Source organism: Homo sapiens, chromosome 16 (genome assembly GCF_000001405.40).
Source record: "Homo sapiens chromosome 16, GRCh38.p14 Primary Assembly".
In the NCBI taxonomy this organism is placed as follows: domain Eukaryota; kingdom Metazoa; phylum Chordata; class Mammalia; order Primates; family Hominidae; genus Homo; species Homo sapiens.
The window spans coordinates 56,341,372-56,359,374 of NC_000016.10; the positions used below are offsets into that span (position 1 = coordinate 56,341,372).

An 18,003-nucleotide genomic window follows, 5' to 3' on the forward strand; every position below is an offset into this window, starting at 1 on the left:
CAGCTCAGGCAGGTCATGCAGCCTCTCTGAACCTCAGTCTCTGGGTCTGTGAGATGGGGTGATGGCTGTGATTGCCCTCGCCTCCCTCACCAGGTGCTATGAAGAGGGAATGAGCTGATGGGCACGCAGAGCTTCGCGTGGTGCCGCACATAGGAAGCGCTCCCTGCCTGTCTGCTCTTGCCTTTAGGGTTATGCCTGTAACTCACACGGGGCTGCTGCAAGACTCAAATCACAGAGCTTTGCAAGCAGCAGAGCCCTGGCCCCCTATATAGGGTGCTGGGGATGAGAGGCCAGCCCTGCCAGTGCTGTGGTGGGTTTACCTGACCATGGGGTGGGCGGGCAGCCAGGAGGGCAGCATGACCAGGGCCCCTGAGGAGCTGCAGGTTGGCAGCTCTGGTCAGTGACACCAGAGCGGTTACAGGGCCCCAGCATAGCTCGGGTGCCCATCAGCTCTTCTGAGATGGCCAGACCCTGTCCAGAGAAGTGAGTGGGAGGAGAAGTGGGGCACCCTCAGCCCGACCTGCCCTGAGGCCTTGGAGGGCACAGAGCAGGGGCAGACAGAGTCCCAGTGGGGCATCCCGGGGGCTTGGGGCCAGGCAAGCAGCACAGCTCTCCTACCTCCTGCCTCCGCCCATCCCCCCATATCAGGCTGAGTGCCTGGCAGGCCAGGACCCAGGCATGTCCAGCTGGAGTTGAGTAGGGCTCAGCCTCCCTGGAAGCTCCCAGCCAGCTTCCTCTCTAGCCATAGTTGAGGGCCTGTGGATCCTGCCCTAGTGACCCGGGCTTGTGGCCTGTGGGGCAGTGGAAACAGGTGGGGTCGGTCAGTTACCAAGGCCAGTGTGGGCCTGGAGTGGGGAAGGAGGAGGGGACAAGGGAGGCTGAGTAGTCAGCTGCAGTCCTAGGACACTCCCCAACCTCCAGCCCAGATTGAGCAAAGAGCTGAGGTCTGGCAGGCCCTCCAGGCTTTCTGCACAGCAGCCCACTCCAGCTTAGAGCTGCGGCTCTGAACTCCAGCTCCCCTCCCTGCTGCCCCCTCCACAGCCCTGCTTGCACCTGGCATGGATTCCTGGAGGCTGAGGGCCTTCAGTGCAAAGCTGGGGTCCTGTTCTTCTGCCCCTTCCCAAACTAGAAGCTTCTCTCCTAGACTCTCCTCTCCCTGAGCCTACCTGAGAACCAGCTCAGTGTGTTGCCCCCTGAGGAAGGCAGCATGTGAGCCAGGCGGTTGTTAATCCCCTGTGAGTGGACAGCAGAAACAAGAAGTTTATAGGCTTCTTCTCCCATCTGGCCCAGCAGTGGCCACAGGAGGTGATATCAAGGCCTGCTCTGTGGACTCCCAAAGGAAAAGGCCCACCCACAGGGTGTGCATCGACCAGGGCTACCTGCATGAGCCCAGTGCCCTCAAACTTCCTTGCTCATGACCCATGATAAGATATAACATTTGCCTTAGGAGTCCATAAATGGCTGGGCATGGTGGCTCACACCTGTAATCCCAGCACTTTGGGAGGCCGAGGAGGGTGGGTCGCCTGAGGTCAGGAGTTCGAGAACAGCCTGGCCAACATGGCGAAAACCCATCTCTACTAAAAATGCAAAAATTAGTGGGGCGTGGCAGCACGCACCTATAATCCCAGCTACTTGAGAATCACTTGAACCTGGGAGTCGGAGGTTGCGGTGAGCTGAGATCACACCACTGCACTCCAGCCTGGGCGACAGAACAAGACTCCATCTCCAAAAAAAAAAACAAACAAAAAAGAAAAACAAAAAGAGGAGTCCATAAATGCATGTATAAAAGGAAAATGGAAGTTTCACAAAACGTGCTCCTTTTAATACAGGTGATTGGCCGGGCACAATGGCTCACGCCTATAATCCCAGCACTTTGGGAGGCTGAGATGAGAGGATCACTTGAGCTTAGGAATTCAGGACCAGCCTGGCCAACATAGTGAGATCCCATCTGTATTAAAAATAATAATAATAATAATAATAAGCCAGGTGTGGTTTCCAGCTACTCAGGAGGCTGAGAAGAGAGTATTAGTCACTTGAGCCCAGGAGGTAGAGGCTGCAGTGAGCCCTGATCGTACCACCACACTCCAGCTTGAGCAACAGAGCAAGACCCTATCTCAAAAAAAAAAAAAAAAGATAAATACAAGTGATATACTGGGAGACCTGATATTTTGTATCTTTCATGACTTTTACACTGGATCTGTCCCACTGACTGGATCCAGGACCCCCTATTAACTTTGCTGACCCCTCAGGTCCCCTCCATCAGGTTTTCCCTGTGCAGTTGTCTCTGAGAGGCCCAAGGCCGGATGGCCACACAGGCCAGGCTGGGGTCGTCCATGCCAAGCAGTCCCATGGGCCTCTCGCCTCACCACACCTTGCCTGTTTGCTCTGCAGGCCCCAGCGCCTTCACAGAAGCCGTGGCTTACATCCAGGCCCAGTACGAGAGCAAGAACAAGTCAGCCCACAAAGAGATCTACACCCACGTCACCTGCGCCACGGACACCAACAACATCCAGTTTGTCTTTGATGCTGTGACGGACGTCATCATCGCCAAAAACCTGCGGGGCTGTGGACTCTACTGAGCCCAGCCGCCCTGCCCGGCACCCTTGCCCTGCCTGGCCTGCCGCCCCCCCTCCCCTGGAACCAGGCTCCACCACTCTCAGACCACTCTTTGCACTTGAGGAAGAAGACCTCAGAGGCTGGCACCAAGGGAGGGAGGAGGGAGCATCCTCCACCCGCACCCCCCAACAGAACTTGTGGTAACGCAGGGGCGGGGCGGGGCTGCTGAGTGCATGCTGCAAGGCCAGGAGACTCCACGCTCACAGCCTCTGTGTCATCTCTGAGTGCTTGATCGGGAAGCTGGGGGGACAGGGCAGGGCCCAGATGGGCACACCCTGCACCTGATGACTCACTGGAAGCCTCGGAGTGTCCTCCTGTCATCTTGGGTGGTGCAGGGGCGCAGATGGCCCTGCAGCAGGGTGCTGGCAGGGTGGGGTCATAGGAGCCATCCTTCAGCTTTGCCTGGGGTCTCTGGTGGAGGGCAGTTCCGTCAACAAAAGCCAGGGTGGGATCAGGCCAACTTGGTGTGGGTTGGAGGACTCAGGCCTTGGCGATGGCCTCCGTCTCCCTGCTCCCTCCCCTGGGTCTCAGCCCTTCCTTCTCTGGGTCATCCTCCCTTGCCTTTGCTCTCCCAGAGAACTCCCATCCCTGACTCCTCCGAGTTCTGGAAATGCTTCTTGAGACTGATTTATGGCTCAGATAGATGGTGGCGTGGAGCGGGGGGAGGGAGAGATGGGAGGTGCGGGGAAGGGAGGTGGAAGCTCCTGTGTCACCTGGGCTGGGGCCTCCCGCCCAGTCCTCGCAGGCCAAAGGGTGACCCATTTCTTTTTTCCAGTCACCAGGAGCTCGGATGGTCACTCTGAGGTGTGAATAGATATGTTTTTCCTTCAGTCCACACTGAATTCAACTCAAACCAGCAAAGGCCTTTGGGCTGGGGATTCTGTGGTTGCAGAGGTCTAGAGGGGGTGGACTTTTGCAGCCAGTGCCTCCGCCTCACCGTCTTGGTGAAGAAATCAGCGAGTTTGTTCACAGCCGTTGGTGTCTTCCCAGCCCCTGGGGACAGAGGACAGCAGGGGGATGGAGCTGACACCCTGGAGTATTTGGACCCAGGCCAGCACAAACACACCCCCCTGTCCCCAACTCTAAAGGGAGAGTCCTAGGACTCCTTAGAGGAGGCTTCACTGCGGAGATCCCTGAGCAGAAGGGGGCGGGGTAGCTTCTCCCGGTGACGGTGACGCAGGTCTGGCTGGCCTTGGGCAACCAACACACCTCTCCCACTCCAAGATGCCTCCAGGTGGCTGAGGCCAACGCCCACACCCAGGCCAGTCGTGTGCTTGTACAGCAGGCTGTGCCTGGGGACCTAGATGTGCCATGGGAGGGAGGAGGGTACCCACTGACAGGCCTCTGCCTCCCTCCTCAAGCCCTCTGTTCTCCCTGCCCCCACTCTGGACACTGCTTAGTCCCCAGCCAGGCAGGGCCCCTGGGTTTCCACTTGCAGCCCCCGGACTGCCCCAGAGCCGGGAAGCACCAGTGCCAACAGCTCTGGACTTGTTGGACCCACAGGCACAGAGCTCTGAGTGGTGCCCAGGAGACCCAGGAACCTTCCCTAGTGCCAAATGCCTGCAGGGACCGGTGCCTGGGGAGCCTCTGGCAGCCGGACTGCAGGAGCCACCCCATCAGCCCAAGTCCACCTCTGTTTTGTTCACCTCGGTCATGTTTTGGACCTTGCACCAGGTGCTGGGACGTGGCAGAGGACAGGCCCTGGGAACCAACAGTGTCCTACCATGGACAGCCAGGGCCAGCTAAGCTAAGCCATCCCGCCCAACACAGAAGACATGGCAGTTATTTCTCAGCAGCACCACGCTGGGTGAGGCCAGTTGTTCCGCTTACTCTGCTCCGAACTGTAACCCCAGGCTCAGAAGCAGCCGGCAAAAGGGGGATGCTGGCCACGCCCCACCTCTAAGGCCATCACCCTGGAGGTGGAAGTCACTGGGCTGGAGGGCTCTCCATGTCCCCCAGCAGCCGCCCTCAGAACACAGTGGCCAGAGCACCAGGCTGGGTCCAGGCCTCCAATCCAGGCCTTCCCTGTCCCTAGAACTGGGGCTGGAGGAGTGGGTGCTCAGCCCTTCCTGCCCTCCATCCCCAGCCTGCCTTTCTCTTCCTTTGGATGCTCCATCCTCCTTGGTTTCTTGCACTGCTCTCAATCCTCCCACCCTAGCCTGGGGGTGGTCCTTGGTCCTCAGGGGTATCCGGGGAGAAATTCTCTCCCTGTGCATGACACCTGTCATCCATGTCGTAACCAGCGGCTCCATCTTGTGGGGTGGTGACTGAGGGTGACAAATGAGATTTGGCTCCGTCGTGGATGTGGATGTGGGAGGAATGTTGCGAGTGACACGTGTGGGTTTCTAATCCACAGTGGTCCTGCGTGTGCCCTGAGGGGCCATGGTAACCTCTCCGATGGCTCGGATTTAGCAGGCCAAGCAGAAACTGATTTCTACGAAGAGCGTCTTTGCCAAACTCATGAAAATTGTGCCTGCCACTTTCATGCCTATGGGCCAGTTTTGTGACCTGCGCCGCTGACCATCCTAAGAACCAGGTCTTGGCCTTCCCTCTGAGCACTGATAGAGGTCCCCAAGGCTCTCTGGCCTGAGGAGGGTGTGGGGTCTGCCCAGCCCCAAGCAGAGAGCACAGTCTGGGCCCCTGACCAACAGCTTTGGCATTCTGGGTTCCATGGGGACCCTAGAGCTCAGGCACAAGAACAACACCATACCTGCTGCCAGGACGCAGCTGTCTCCCAGGCCCTCCCCACAGCCCAGCTCCCACTGGCAGGAACTGGACACATCCCTGCCCTCCATGGTCTGCACTGGTCTTCTCTGAGTATTCTTAGGAGCAGAGGCAGCCCCAAGTTCCAACTTGCAAGCCCTGTAACTAAGCTGTCTATAAACCCCAGCAGGGAAGGCCAAGGGATGGTCTCACCCATGCCCTTCCCTTTGGCCAACATGAGTCCTGCAGTGGGGAGCTTAGCCCCTGCTCCCACCTAACACTCTACAGTTAGCACCCAGGGGTTGATTCAGGAAGTTCTTCCTTTTTCTAGCCTGCATCCTTCCTGGCCACCCCCTTTATTTCTCAGTCTGACCTGGTGCACTCTTGGCAAGTGAGTCCATTGCAGTCCCAGGTGGATATTTAATGAGCACTCGGACTGTTTCCTCCAAGTCAGCTAGTGGCCTGCCCTCCTCCTTTTCAAGAAGTCTGGGGCACAGAGCCTCCTCTGGCTGCCTCTTCTCTTCTCTGAGCCTCTGGGAGCCTTCAGGCAAAACCTGGCAGTTCTCAGGAACCCAGACCTGAGGCTCCAGCTCCGCGGCCACCAGAGATTCAGTGTGCAGTGCCGAAGGCAGTCACCCCCAGGCAGTTCCTGCTGTCAGGCCGCAAGCCTAGAGCGCAGGATCCCAGCAGCCCAGGGAACAGGGCCGGCGTGTGAGCTGCTGCCGTGGGGTCTGTGGTAGGGCTCCCCATCTCCCACCCCTCAGCAAGAAGAGTCCTGACCCCTGACCCCACCCTGCCCAGAGAGGAGCTGGGGCCTCCAGACAGACCCCACTGCAGCCAGATGAAGGCCCCTGTCAAAGAAGGGGCAGGCTGGGGGAAAAGCAGAAAGAATGGCCCCCAGTCCAAACTCCTGGATCCCCTCCATGAGAGAGGGGCTCCCCCTGGAACAGAAGCTCTCATCCCCAGGCCCAGTGCACAAGACCACCAGCAGAGACCCACCGCCCTTCCTGGCAGAGCACCACTTCCTGGCAGTGCAGCTCCGAGGCACCACTACTGTCCTCCCCTTCCCTCCCCACCCCTCCCCTCCCTTTCCCTCCTCTCCCCTCCCCTCCACACCTGCCCTGTTACTCCCACAGCTCTGGGCAGCCAGGCCCTCCCCTCCTGCCTCCTGGTCTTCTCTACTCCGCTGGTTCTGACCCATCCCCTGGCTCTGCCCGCCGTCCCCCACCCTGCCCCTGCTGAGTATCTTCTTCCTCCCCACGCACCCCCCTCCCCCATCTAGGCGAGGTGGGCTCGGGCGTCCCAGGCCCTCCTTAGAAAAGCCGTCTCTCTCGAGTGCAGTGGTCCCACCTCCCAACCCCATCACTGCTGCCCACCCCATATTAACTGTAATTTTGTAAGAAGAGTGACTTGTTGGTTTAATAAATCTCTAGTTATTGTAATAATTTATTGGCTGCCATAATGTATTTATTAGTCGCCTACCGTTAATAAAAAGTGCCCGCTTTCCTAGCGTGAGTGTGATGTGTTGTCAGGGCCCAGGGAGCTCCTGCCAGGTGCACTTGCACGATGTGTGTCCTCGGGCCCTGCCCCATCCTGGTCCCAGGACTGCTGGCAGCCTGGCAGAGTGGGCACACTCCTGCTGGGGACAGAGGATCAGGGCGACTGGGCGCCCTGCCCCCCTGTCAGGATCGCCATCTGGTGGGAAGTTGCTCCGTTCTGCGCCGAGCCACCTTCCTGTCCTGGAGAGCTTGGTGGCCACCTGGACACTGCTGTGGGTGACGTGGCAGTGGCCATGGTTGCGCTGGCACTGCTTCCTGCTGCTCCTGGGCCTCCACTGCAGCCTGGGGCAGGTGGAGGTCTAGGGGGTTGGCTGTCAGCCATCTATGATCTCTGACTTCTTTCTCTTTTCTCAAATGGTGGTATCTCTTCTTTGAATGTACCCCGGCGTCTGCTTCCTCTGGGGAGCTTGTAAGGATGAGCTGTGCTCTCAGCTCCTTGGCAATGGGTTCCAGGCAGCGTGCCGAGGGAGGGCAGTCAGGCCTGGGGGGCTGGCAGGGGTCTCAGTGCCGGCGCCTCCCCTGCCCTGCAGGATCTCCCCTCCTCACTGCCCTCCCCGAGTCTCCAGGATCAGCCGCCTTTTGGGGCTCCCTCCAAGGCCCTCTCCCCATAAAACCAGGTTTGGTTATGCCTGTCCTCTGCTCCCCAAGTCCTCCCCTGCACTGCCACTCCTGGGACCACAGACTGTGATCATCTTTCTCCAGCTGGACTCTGAGCTCTCGGAGAGCAGGAGCCTGATGTGGTCATTCTTACATCCTCGGGGCAGCCCAGCAGAGAGCCCTGCACACAGATGCCAGGCAGTACTGACTGGAGGAGCGAGTGTGGTGTGAGTCGTGCTCTGTGGCCCTGAGATGTAGGGGCTGTGGCGGGGGCTCAGCCTTAACCAGTGGAACTGTGGAGCCTAAATGAGCCGGACTTGATTTCTCCTCCACACCTAAGCTCAGTGGCCAAGGGGGCACAGTCCCCACTCCCAGCTCAGGTCACTCTAGTGGCTGCTCCTGGCAGTGCCTGGGAAGATGTGCAGTGGAGGAGGGAGCTTGGCTCTGGCTGTGGGTTTCCAGCTCTCTGTTAGGCAGCTGCAGGCCAAGGTGGCTCTGTGGAGTGGGGAGCATGTTCCTGTGGAATCCTTGGGGTCTCAGAGCCTCACCACTCTGGCCTCATAATGTGGCTCAATGAGCTTGAGTGTGGACAGCCCGAGGCCCTGGACACAGGTTCACTGGGCCTCCCAGAAGCCTCCGGCTGCCCTTTTCTGAACAGATCCCAGTGAGGTGGCTCAGGGCAAGCGAGACCTGCTCCTCCCCGGAGGGATCACACAGATGACAGGGAAATGCTCCTGGGGAATCAGAATGAAATTTACTGATTGAGGATAGGAGAGTGATGAGATCATATGAGTTTACTGAATCTGTTTAGCAGAATGAAAGGGCAGTGCCGTGTACTACAGCTCCTGGGGGGTGGGGAATAACGCCATGCCAGCTGTCCAGGTGCCCCTGAGAGGCAGCTGAGAACGCTGCCCTCCGCCGACCAACTTCAGCTAATAGGAACCAGGGGCTGGGGCTGGCCGCCTCTACAGGTCATGGTAGAATGATGTAGGCACGGGGGAGATACTGAAGGGAGGACTGGCCGTAAGACGCACGGAGCCCGCCATGCTGCTGTTAGTATCGATTCCTCGAAAGCCCCACAGCCTGCTGATATGGACTGGAGAGACCCATTGCATAAGTTCTGGATCTGGCCCAGCTGTGTCACCGCGGTGTCCCCTCAGGCCAGATGAGGTTAAGTGACATGGGCAGGGAGAGCGCTGGCACAGTGTGGGCCTCAGTGACTGGTGTGGTCACTTCATCTTCATTGCCCTCCTTCTGCTCAGAGGGGGGCGGTGTGGCAGTGGGACCAGCAATTCCTCAGCACCCACGGTGTGCTCACCCCTGGGGGAGGAGGTCATCTCCCCGTAGATGCCCAGTGGCATCTACACCAGCTGTCTTCTTTTTCTTGTTACTTGTGTCACTCTTCTTATTTCAGAGGTAGAGTTTAGCCTGGTTCACCTCTGGGCTTTAGATCCAGAGAGCTGGGTTTACAGTGAGCAAGTTCCCAGGGCTAGGACAGGGTTCTTGGGGAAAATAAGGGAAACTGTCCCTTCCTCCCACTCCCTGTGCAGAAATGGATTCGTTCACAGAGAAAGATGCCCTCTGTGCTGCTGAGAGACAGACTCTGCCCAAGTGAATGAGCTCAGCGCCCCAAAGCAGAGTTTTTGCCCAGGGCAAGAGGCTGCCCCCGTTCGGCATCTGTGGGGCGCCCATCACGTTCATCCATTTGCTAAACAGGCTCCTGTGTGCAGGGCAGCCCTCCACATCTGCCTTGCTTAGAACATCATGCAGTGTCAGATGCAGCTGAGTAGGACCCAGCCAGAGGAGGTGTGGCCAGTCCCCCAGGTGCTCCTGGAGGTGGCCCTGCCAGGAGCCTCTCCCCTGAGTGGTGGCACCCAGGATGCTGGCAGGACCTGGCATGCCTTCCCCTGAGACCATAGGAAGGGCCCGGAGTCTCTCACCACTCCCAGAGAACATCCCCCTACCCAGGATGGGCCCAGGAGGAGAGGTCTAGGCAGGAAGGGCCAAAGCCCAGCTCTCCGGCTCCGGTCCAGACTCCCCCAACGCCCACACACACAGGCACACACACAGGCACGCACACACACTCAAGCACATGGATGCACACAGGCATGCACACACAGGTGCACACACATAGGCACACATGCACACGAACACACACAGGCACACATAACAGGTGCATGCACACACACACAGGCACATGCACACAGCCACACACACGTGTGCTGGGAGACCCTCACATAGCTGGGAACTCTGCAGTGGGGAGAGCCCGGGTCACCCTGTCCTCAGCCTCCCCAGAGAGCCATGGCTGGTGTCCAGTCCAGTCTCTGCCTCTGGCCCCGACATGACGGGTTCTCCGGAAGCAGGGAATGAGATGTGCTGTGAGGTGTAACTGACTCAGGTTCCATCTGGCAGCCTCTCGGAGGAGCTGCCGAGTAGCCCAGTCCCTCTCTGTCAAGCCTAATTCTCTCCTTCTCTTTCCCTGTCTCTGTGTCTCCCTCCCGCTGTCTGTCCTCTCTCCTCCCTTCCTGCGGCCGCAGAACCGCATGCACGAGTCTCTCATGCTCTTCGACTCCATCTGTAACAACAAGTTCTTCATCGATACCTCCATCATTCTCTTCCTCAACAAGAAAGATCTCTTTGGCGAGAAGATCAAGAAGTCACCTTTGACCATCTGCTTTCCTGAATACACAGGTGGGTGCCAGGCAGTCCTGTGCAGGGGGAAGCCTGCCCCTGACAGGGACCCATGGCTCAGAGAACAGGCTGCTCGGCCAGCACTGCTGGGGCTAGCTGGCGAGCGGGACCCATTGCAGGAGACTGGTGGGGCGCAAAAGAAAAACAGTGCTGTGCCACCAGGTTTGGGCTTCCCAGGACACAGCCCTCAGCGTGGTGGAAATGGCCCCTCCTAAGATATATGTGTTAGGACCAAGTGACTCAGGAGTGGTGGGGAGCAGGGGGCAGGACAGGATCACAGGCTTCCCCCTTCCTCCTGGTCACCCTCTAGAAGAGGTCTCAGGACAGCCTCCTGTAATCTCAGCAGTGGCCTCCCCTCACCCCTGCCCAGAGCCCCACAGCACCTTTGCATGAAACCGAAAAGTGGACACGTGGCCTGTGAACAGGGCCTGGACTGCCTCTTGGCCCCACCTGCTTTCCCTGCTCCCTGCTTTGGTGCCCGGAACATGCTTCATCTCTGTGCAGCCGCCCAGCCAGACCACTCCACCCATCCCACATCGTGCCTGCCCTCCCTCCCCAACCCCAGCCCCATTGCGCCTCCTCTCTCCCCTTCTTCCTTCGTCCCTGGTCTTTGCCCCAAATCCAACCACTCCAGCTATCTGCAAGCCTCCTGTATCACTGCCTCCCTTTCTTCTGCCTTCTCTGGGGCTTTCTTCTTGCTCTCAGGGGAATGTGTCACAGACCTTCCCCCCCACCCGGCTCAATGACGCTCTTTCCAAATGGATGGATGAGGGATGGTGGCTTCCGTGGAATGGGCCAACTCTGGGCTACTGCTAATGCCTAAAAGCAGCACTGATGGGATGCCAGAGCCCAGCCCTGGTCCCTCTAGGGGCTGGGAAGCTTCTAGGGGTCCCTGGGGTAGGAGTTGCCTTTGCAGACTACAGAGTGCACAGGGCCAGCACCCTGCCATGGAGGAGGAGGTGTCCTGTCATCCGCCAGGTCAGGGCACAGGTTGGCTCGGCCAGGAACCCATGTTCTGACAGCCCTGGAGTAAGGCTTTGGGCATGGGCTCAGTCTCAGGGCCACACGGGTCCCCAAGCTCAGCCACAGGGTGCCTACATCCAGCATAGGTCGATGCTGGTCTCCCCACCCTTCCCCACAGCTGGGAGCAGTGTGTGAAGAAGGGCTGTCAGCTTGTTCTGAGCACAAACCGTGTCCTCACTGATGGTCCGTGCTAATGTGAATTTGCAAGGTTCTTGCCCTTCCCAAGGTGCAGAGCAGGAGGTGGGGCCAGGAACTGTGCCCTGCACTCGAGGCTCTCCAGCAAAGTCCCAATAGGGCAGAGAGCCCAGGTAGCCTCTGGAGCCAGACCACCTGCAGCTCAGCAAGTTGCTCAGTCATCTGTGCCTCATTCTAATCTGGTCAACACAATGGGTAATCATGCCCACCCCAAGGGTGACTGGAAGGACAGCTGCTTGGTGCCAGGTCTACTGAAGTGCTGGCTGTGGCTGCCATTGGTATTATTCAGAGGATGGAAACTAGGGGAGGGGGAACTGGCCACGGAGAAGGTGCCCTCTGCAGGATGGAGTGAGGGCAGGAGGGCACAGGACAAGCCCTGAAAGGCCAGCCCCAGGTGGCCCTTGGGCAGAGCCAGGCTGTAGCCCACTCTGGCAGCCACTCCTGACCTCTCCCAGCCACAACGATGGAGTCCAGTAGGCCCCCTCAGGCCAGGGCTACCCTCAGAGACAGGCCCAACCCTACGGCTCTTTCTTGCCCAGTGTCCCACTGGGGCCTGACTTGGGAGTGGCCAGTCTCACTGCTGTGGAGTGCAAGCACTAGATGCCCCAGCGAAGGGCAGTTGGAACCTGAGAAACAAGTTCTCCAGGGCCTTCAGAGGAATCCAGTTTGAATTCAGGTATCATGGATGACAGATGGTCACCAGTGCAGTGGCCCCATGGAGTGCAAACCTGTGAGGGCACAAAACAAGCAGCAGGGGTGGGACGGGAGGTGGCCGGCTGTCTAAGGGACGTGTGGGCCAGCATGGCTGGGTGGCAGCAGGGCTGTGTGAGGACGCTGGGCTCGGCAGACACAGCGAAGGCACGAGGCGCTCCTCCCACCTGGACGGCTTCCTGTGGCCACCTTCCACCCTGGGCTGTGCCCAGTTCGGCTCTCTCCAGACAGGAAGCTCCTGGGCAGGGTCCACACGGGCTGCTTTGTCCAATCCTTAACAGCTGTGCTGTGGGCTTGGCATCTCTGCACCAGTGGATCAAGGATGAGGCTTTGCACTGTGGGTCCAGGCACTCCTGCTGGGCTGCCCAGAGCTGGTCTCAGCCATGACAACCCACCCAAGGCTGTCCCAACCCCCTGCCCCTTGCCCCTTGTACACCCAAGGAATTGGTGGGGACAGAGGGCCCCCAGTTGGCATCATACATGCTGATGTCCCCTTAAACTTCCCACCTTGGGGACATCAATGCCCCAATGTCCTGGCCACTCGCTTAAGAACCACGCCTACTAATGATATGCTGCCAGCCCTGCCAAGTGGCCTCTTCTTAAAGGAAACCAATGAGGAAGGAGTGCAGGTCCCTCTGAGTGCCCACCACCCTCTTGGGCAGGCCCCTCTCCAGACTTTGTTTTCATGGTTTACTGGAATCAGCAGGATTGGTTTAGACCATGGGGCGGTGCCTCAATTTGCTCATCTAGGAAGCAAAAGCGTTCATCTGTGGCCACTGCTGTCCCAGGCGGGGCTTCCGGGTGGATCTGGTGTGAAAACAGTAAGAGATCTTGCAAAGTCCAAAGCCAGGCAAATGCTCAGCCTGTGTATGGTTGGTGCAAAAGTAATTGCAGTAATTGCAGTTTTGCTATCAAAAGTAATGGCAAGGCCAGGCGTGGTGGCTCACGTCTGTAATCCCAGCACTTTGGGAGGCCGAGGCAGGTGGATCACCTGAGGTCAGGAGTTCGAGACCAACCTGGCCAACATGGTGAAACCCCGTCTCTACTAAAAATACAAAAATTAGCTGGGCGTGGTGGCACGCGCCTGTATTACCAGCTACTCAGGAGGCTGAGGCAGGAGAATCGCTTGAACCTGGGAGGCAGAGGTTGCAGTGAGCTGAGATCGTGCCATTGCACTCCAGCCTGGGCAATAAGAGCAAAACTCTGTCTCAAAAAAATAGTTCTTTAATTTAAAATGCAACTATGGCTTGGAACTGCCCAGCAGTTCCTACTGCTCCCTTCCTGTCTCATCCCACTTCCTGGGACACGCCACAACCCACTTCTTGTCTTCATGTCCCCAGCCCTGTCCACCCACAGCGCTCATCAGGGCCTCTCCCCGTTCTTCTGTGTCTTGTTACAGGCCCCAATACCTATGAAGACGCAGCCGCCTACATCCAAGCACAATTTGAAAGCAAAAACCGCTCACCCAACAAAGAAATATATTGTCACATGACTTGTGCCACAGACACGAATAACATCCAGGTGGTGTTCGACGCCGTCACCGACATCATCATTGCCAACAACCTCCGGGGCTGCGGCTTGTACTGACCTCTTGTCCTGTATAGCAACCTATTTGGTAATGATTCCAGCACCCACAGAACAGCTTGCGTGCGCGCGCATACACACACACACACACACACACACACACACCACTAACAAATGCAAGTTGGTAAATAAACTTTAAAGAGGCATAACAAAACCTTATATATATATATATATATACAAATATATATTTAAAAAATCTTTTTAGTTTGTACTAGAAAGAGCTGCGGACAGAACTGACCACCATCCCATAGCTCATGGAGGTTTTCCTGGGACGGCACGTGAGCATGCACGTGTGTGTGTGTACACACACTCACACATGTCCAGATGGGAGCTTGGTTTGGGAGTCCCTCCTTTTGAGGATAGCCCCGGGGTGTTCCTCTCAGCCCCATTTCTGAGAACAGGTGAATGGCAGAACAGCCCTGGCCTTGGCCCAGCCAGCTCTCTGTGTTGCGCCCTTAGAGCCTCTGCGCCCTCAGTTCCGTCCTGCTCTTGGCAAATTCCAGACCCTTTCAGAAATGGCCGAAGCCCTAAGCCTCTCCTCACTCTGCACTCCCAAAAACAGAACAATTTAAGGATGCTTCTCTTTCGGGTGGTGGTGGTTGTTAATTTCAGGAATTTAGAAGAATCATTGCTCCGACCAATCCACTGTCTCCTGAGTTTTCTTTATTCATGTTAAGATGGCAAGAATCAGAGAACAGGGAGACTTGGTCTGCTTTCTAAAAGCAGCTGACAGGAGGGGACTCAAGTTCACCTGCAGAGTTGAAACCAGCCCCGCTCCAAGAGGGCATGTGGGAAGGTGGGGAGCGAGGGGAACAGGCGTGGCGGGGAGGGCCGGACTTGTGGGCCTGACCCGAGTCAGGGTCTCAGGGGGGGGCCAGGCTTCCCCAGGTGCCCGGGATGGGCTTCAATGGGGTTCCTGACCCCTCGTGCTGCTGCCCCATCTCGCCCAACCCCAGCAGTAGTCAAAATGTTCTAGGGTTTTTTGGTTGGTTGGTTGGTTTTTAAAATCAAAGAAAATGGTCAGACTGGACCCCTTATCTCTCTCTCTACAGACTGCTTCACGGACTCTTTGCTGTTGACGTTGATCTCCTGGTAGCATGACCTTTTGGCCTTTGTAAGACACACAGCCTTTCTGTATCAAGCCCCTGTCTAACCTACGACCCCAGAGTGACTGACGGCTGTGTATTTCTGTAGAATGCTGTAGAATCCGGTTTTAGTTGAGTCTTCACATTTAGAATTTGAAAGGAAAAACAGAACATTTCTCATGTGCTTTGTAGCTTAAAAAAAGGAAAACTCACCATTTCATCCATATTTCTTTTTCTTGCAAAACAAACATACCCATCTGCACCGACGCCTGCCCCCGTCCCACCTCGCGGCGCAGCCCCTGGAGCTCCTGCTGGGGGGCAGGGCCCATCTGCCGCCTGGGGCTCCGGTGCGGTGCACTGGTCCGAGGAGTGTGCTCAGGCCGGGCTTTCCAGAAGGCCACAGGCCACTGCAAACCCTGCTGCCTGCCGGCCGCCCAGACACCACAGACGCCACCTGGCGGCCCTAAGCCACTCCCGCCACACGCTCACTCCAGGTTCGTATAGAAAAAGCACAGCTCTCACTGGCCAGTAGCTGCCAAAAAGAACACCCATCGTATAAGGAAATCCAGCCCCATAGAAAACAATCTGCCCACCGACCCCCTTTCTAAGGATAGCCTTTGTAGGGGTTTTTTGGTTCCTTTTTTTTTTTTTTCAGTTTTTGTTTTTACTTTTGTCCCGCCGAGTACTATGTATTACCAGCCCCCCACCCCACAGATCAGTTTTCCTAGTCTTTGGGAAACGGGTTGTGTTTTTTTTCCTTTGCCGTGTTGGATTTCCGGTCCCGGCTGACACCTCCCTTCGTGTGTGCGCCCCTCCCCACCCCTGCCTTTGTTTCGGTGCCCTGTGTCCGCTCTCTCATGTGGGGATGTTTGTGCTGCAGACAAAAAGAACAAAAAAAAATTTTTAAATACCACAAGATGGAAAAAAAAAACAAAAAAATTTAAAAAGATGGAATGTAGTGTTTACATTAAAGCCGCCGTTTTCATGACCAATCCTATGTCATTTCTACTTTGACTAATACCCAAACCCTAAACCTCTTCACGGTTTCACTTTTAAGACTTAATCTTTGCTGAAGAAGACCAGTCACAGCCATTTCAAATAAAGAGGAGGCAAAAAGACAAAACACACAAAAAATTAAAAAAAAAAACTTAAAAAAAAAAGGAAAAAAGAAAAAAAAGCCCACGGGTCTTTGTAAGCCTTTCTATTCCCAATCGGTGAGGTTTCTGTGATATCTTACACACTGCCAGTCTACTTCTCTGACTAATGGAAAATTCCTGTGTAGCTCAATAAAAGAGAATGTTTGTCTGTACTCCTGAGTCTCACCCTGTGCCTTCCAACGATGGTTATTTGGGGTGGGCTTCATTCTGGCAGGAGAGGGAAGGAGGGACTCGGCCACACACGCTGGTAGGCCGGTGGTTAGGAGTCCCCCACAGGACCTTCCCATCCCCTCAGTGCCGTCACTGGAGCCCCAGCTCAGAGCACAGTTGACGCGACCACTGCCCAGTGCTGCCTGGGAATGAGGGCAGGGGAGCCGCCACTTTCTCCTGCGATGCCCTCTCCTCCCGGCTCCCGGTGCCTCCTCACCCTCAGTAGGTTTTGTTTGCTTTTGAGAAATGAGGTGGAAGTGGGGATTAGGAAGGAAGAAATGCAAGAAGGGCAGGCAAGCCCCCTCTCCTATCATGCAGGATCCTCTTTCTTCTGTAGCCGGCGGTTCCCCCACAGTGGGAGGATGGGTGGTCCCAAGAATGAGGCCAATTGCCTGAGCCCATCTGCACCCAAGAGTTCCCAGCCACTCACATGCCCAGGACGAGCTTGGGCCCAGCCTGACCAGGAAGGCTGCCTTCGATTTGCTCCCTGACTGCACCTGGATGCCAGGAAGCCCCCTGCAGGCCGAACACGCAGGAGGTAACCCAGCAGTGCAGTGGGGCACACGGAGTCTGATCCCTGTTCCTCCCCTAGACTGTAGGTCTCACCCGTCCCCTACATTGGCCCGCTTTTGCTGTAATAATTAGCAAATGGGTTGCAACGGGGACCTGGAGGCAACGGCAGCCCACTGAACTTGCATCATGTCCACACGCCACTTCCTGTACAAGCGGCCAAGAGCATCATGTATCATGCTGTCTTCAGTGAGATGGGGGAGCTGCCAAGAGGTCAGTTACCTGGAATCCTCTCCACATCTCAACAAATGGGAATTAGAGGCTCAGAAGGGCCTCTCTCGGGCAAGTTCCAGCAGTCTTTTGAATCAAGGGGGTGGAGGCAGGGGATATTGTTTCAGAGACTATGGAAGAACAAGAGGCACTGTGATAAATACCCAACCAATACAGGCACCCCTTAAACCTCTTCTGCTTTCCCCCTGGTTCCCCAAACCCCAACTTATCTGCAGAGAGGGGCACATGACCTACCCTCTCCATTGAGGGGAAGGTTTGCAATCCAGGCCACAGTTTGACTTTGTAACAAACCAAGATCCACATGGAAGGCTGAAGGAAACCATGACATTTTCTATATATGGCACATTTGAATTTTTCTGAAAACCAAGCCATATTCTAATAGGGTTCTTCCCAACTTTCAAATGAGTTTTGCAATAAAACCAACAGAAGTTTATTTGCCTCATTTTTCTTAGAAGGGAGGTCATAGCATTTTTTGGAAAGGATGCAGCAAAAAGGCCAATTAAATCGGAACAAGGAGAGTGGGGGCAGAACCTATCTGATATATATATTTTTAAAGATCCTTTTTCCCCCCTAGTTTATCTGTGCACACAATTGTAAAAAGCTAGTTCTAATTAGAACCAAATCAAATAGGAGATTTACTTCCAATGGCACCTAAATAGCTTCTAAAAGAAATTCTGAGAAAATTGCCTCTATTCAGGAGGTAAACAAAAGGTATCCATCATCACCACCTGTGGAATCCCTCCAGGTCTTTGATCTCTGCCCTGAAACTCTACTGAGAAAGTCTCAGAGTCGCTGTGAACCTCTTCTGGCTCTGGGGGCTGCCAGATTCCTGAACCATTCTTTGCCCAGTTAGACCACCCAATGAAGAGGGGCTCCAAAATGCACTTTTGTTGCCTAGCTGGCAGTTGCTTAAGGCAATAAGACAGGTAATTAAAAGAGTAATTCTCTAAAGGGGGGAAATGCACACAAAACTACTGAGATTATAAAAATGCAGATCCAACCCTTTTTTTTTTTCTAAACCAGGACTAATAACCGACACTGATGTTGGAATGCTAACATCCAGAGAATGAT

The 18,003-nt window shown here is 56.0% G+C and overlaps 1 protein-coding gene across 4 annotated transcripts in view, besides 4 other annotated features; it reads left to right on the forward strand.

The window, feature by feature from the left end:
- The window catches only part of GNAO1 (G protein subunit alpha o1), a 165,956-nt gene extending 149,883 nt beyond the window's left edge, over positions 1 to 16,073 (forward strand). For 2 of the 4 annotated variants that reach the window (NM_020988.3, XM_011523003.4), the window contains exons 7-9: positions 10,013 to 10,166; positions 13,495 to 13,710; positions 14,732 to 16,073. In NM_020988.3, coding sequence (NP_066268.1) covers positions 10,013 to 10,166; positions 13,495 to 13,682 — 342 coding nt within the window. In that variant the 3' untranslated portion in view covers positions 13,683 to 13,710; positions 14,732 to 16,073. Of the gene's footprint in view, positions 1 to 2,391; positions 6,829 to 10,012; positions 10,167 to 13,494; positions 13,711 to 14,731 lie in introns of those variants that run through there. The other 2 variants (XR_007064866.1, NM_138736.3) reach the window with 2 other exon arrangements.
- Positions 3,988 to 4,675: an enhancer, noted in NCBI's record as "H3K4me1 hESC enhancer chr16:56379271-56379958 (GRCh37/hg19 assembly coordinates)". NCBI's record gives its function as "activates a minimal SCP1, AML or CMV promoter by ChIP-STARR-seq in primed H9 embryonic stem cells {active_cell/tissue: H9 hESC(primed)}" and the evidence as "EXISTENCE:reporter gene assay evidence [ECO:0000049][PMID:30033119]".
- Positions 7,056 to 7,556: an enhancer, noted in NCBI's record as "H3K4me1 hESC enhancer chr16:56382339-56382839 (GRCh37/hg19 assembly coordinates)". NCBI's record gives its function as "activates a minimal SCP1, AML or CMV promoter by ChIP-STARR-seq in naive H9 embryonic stem cells {active_cell/tissue: H9 hESC(naive)}" and the evidence as "EXISTENCE:reporter gene assay evidence [ECO:0000049][PMID:30033119]".
- Positions 14,545 to 14,704: a silencer, noted in NCBI's record as "fragment chr16:56389828-56389987 (GRCh37/hg19 assembly coordinates)". NCBI's record gives its function as "represses an EF-1alpha promoter that drives an FKBP-Casp9 reporter gene in an ReSE screen in K562 erythroleukemia cells {active_cell/tissue: K562}" and the evidence as "EXISTENCE:reporter gene assay evidence [ECO:0000049][PMID:32094911]".
- Positions 15,739 to 15,878: an enhancer, noted in NCBI's record as "active region_10848". NCBI's record gives its function as "activates an Ori minimal core promoter by ATAC-STARR-seq in GM12878 lymphoblastoid cells {active_cell/tissue: GM12878}" and the evidence as "EXISTENCE:reporter gene assay evidence [ECO:0000049][PMID:35858748]".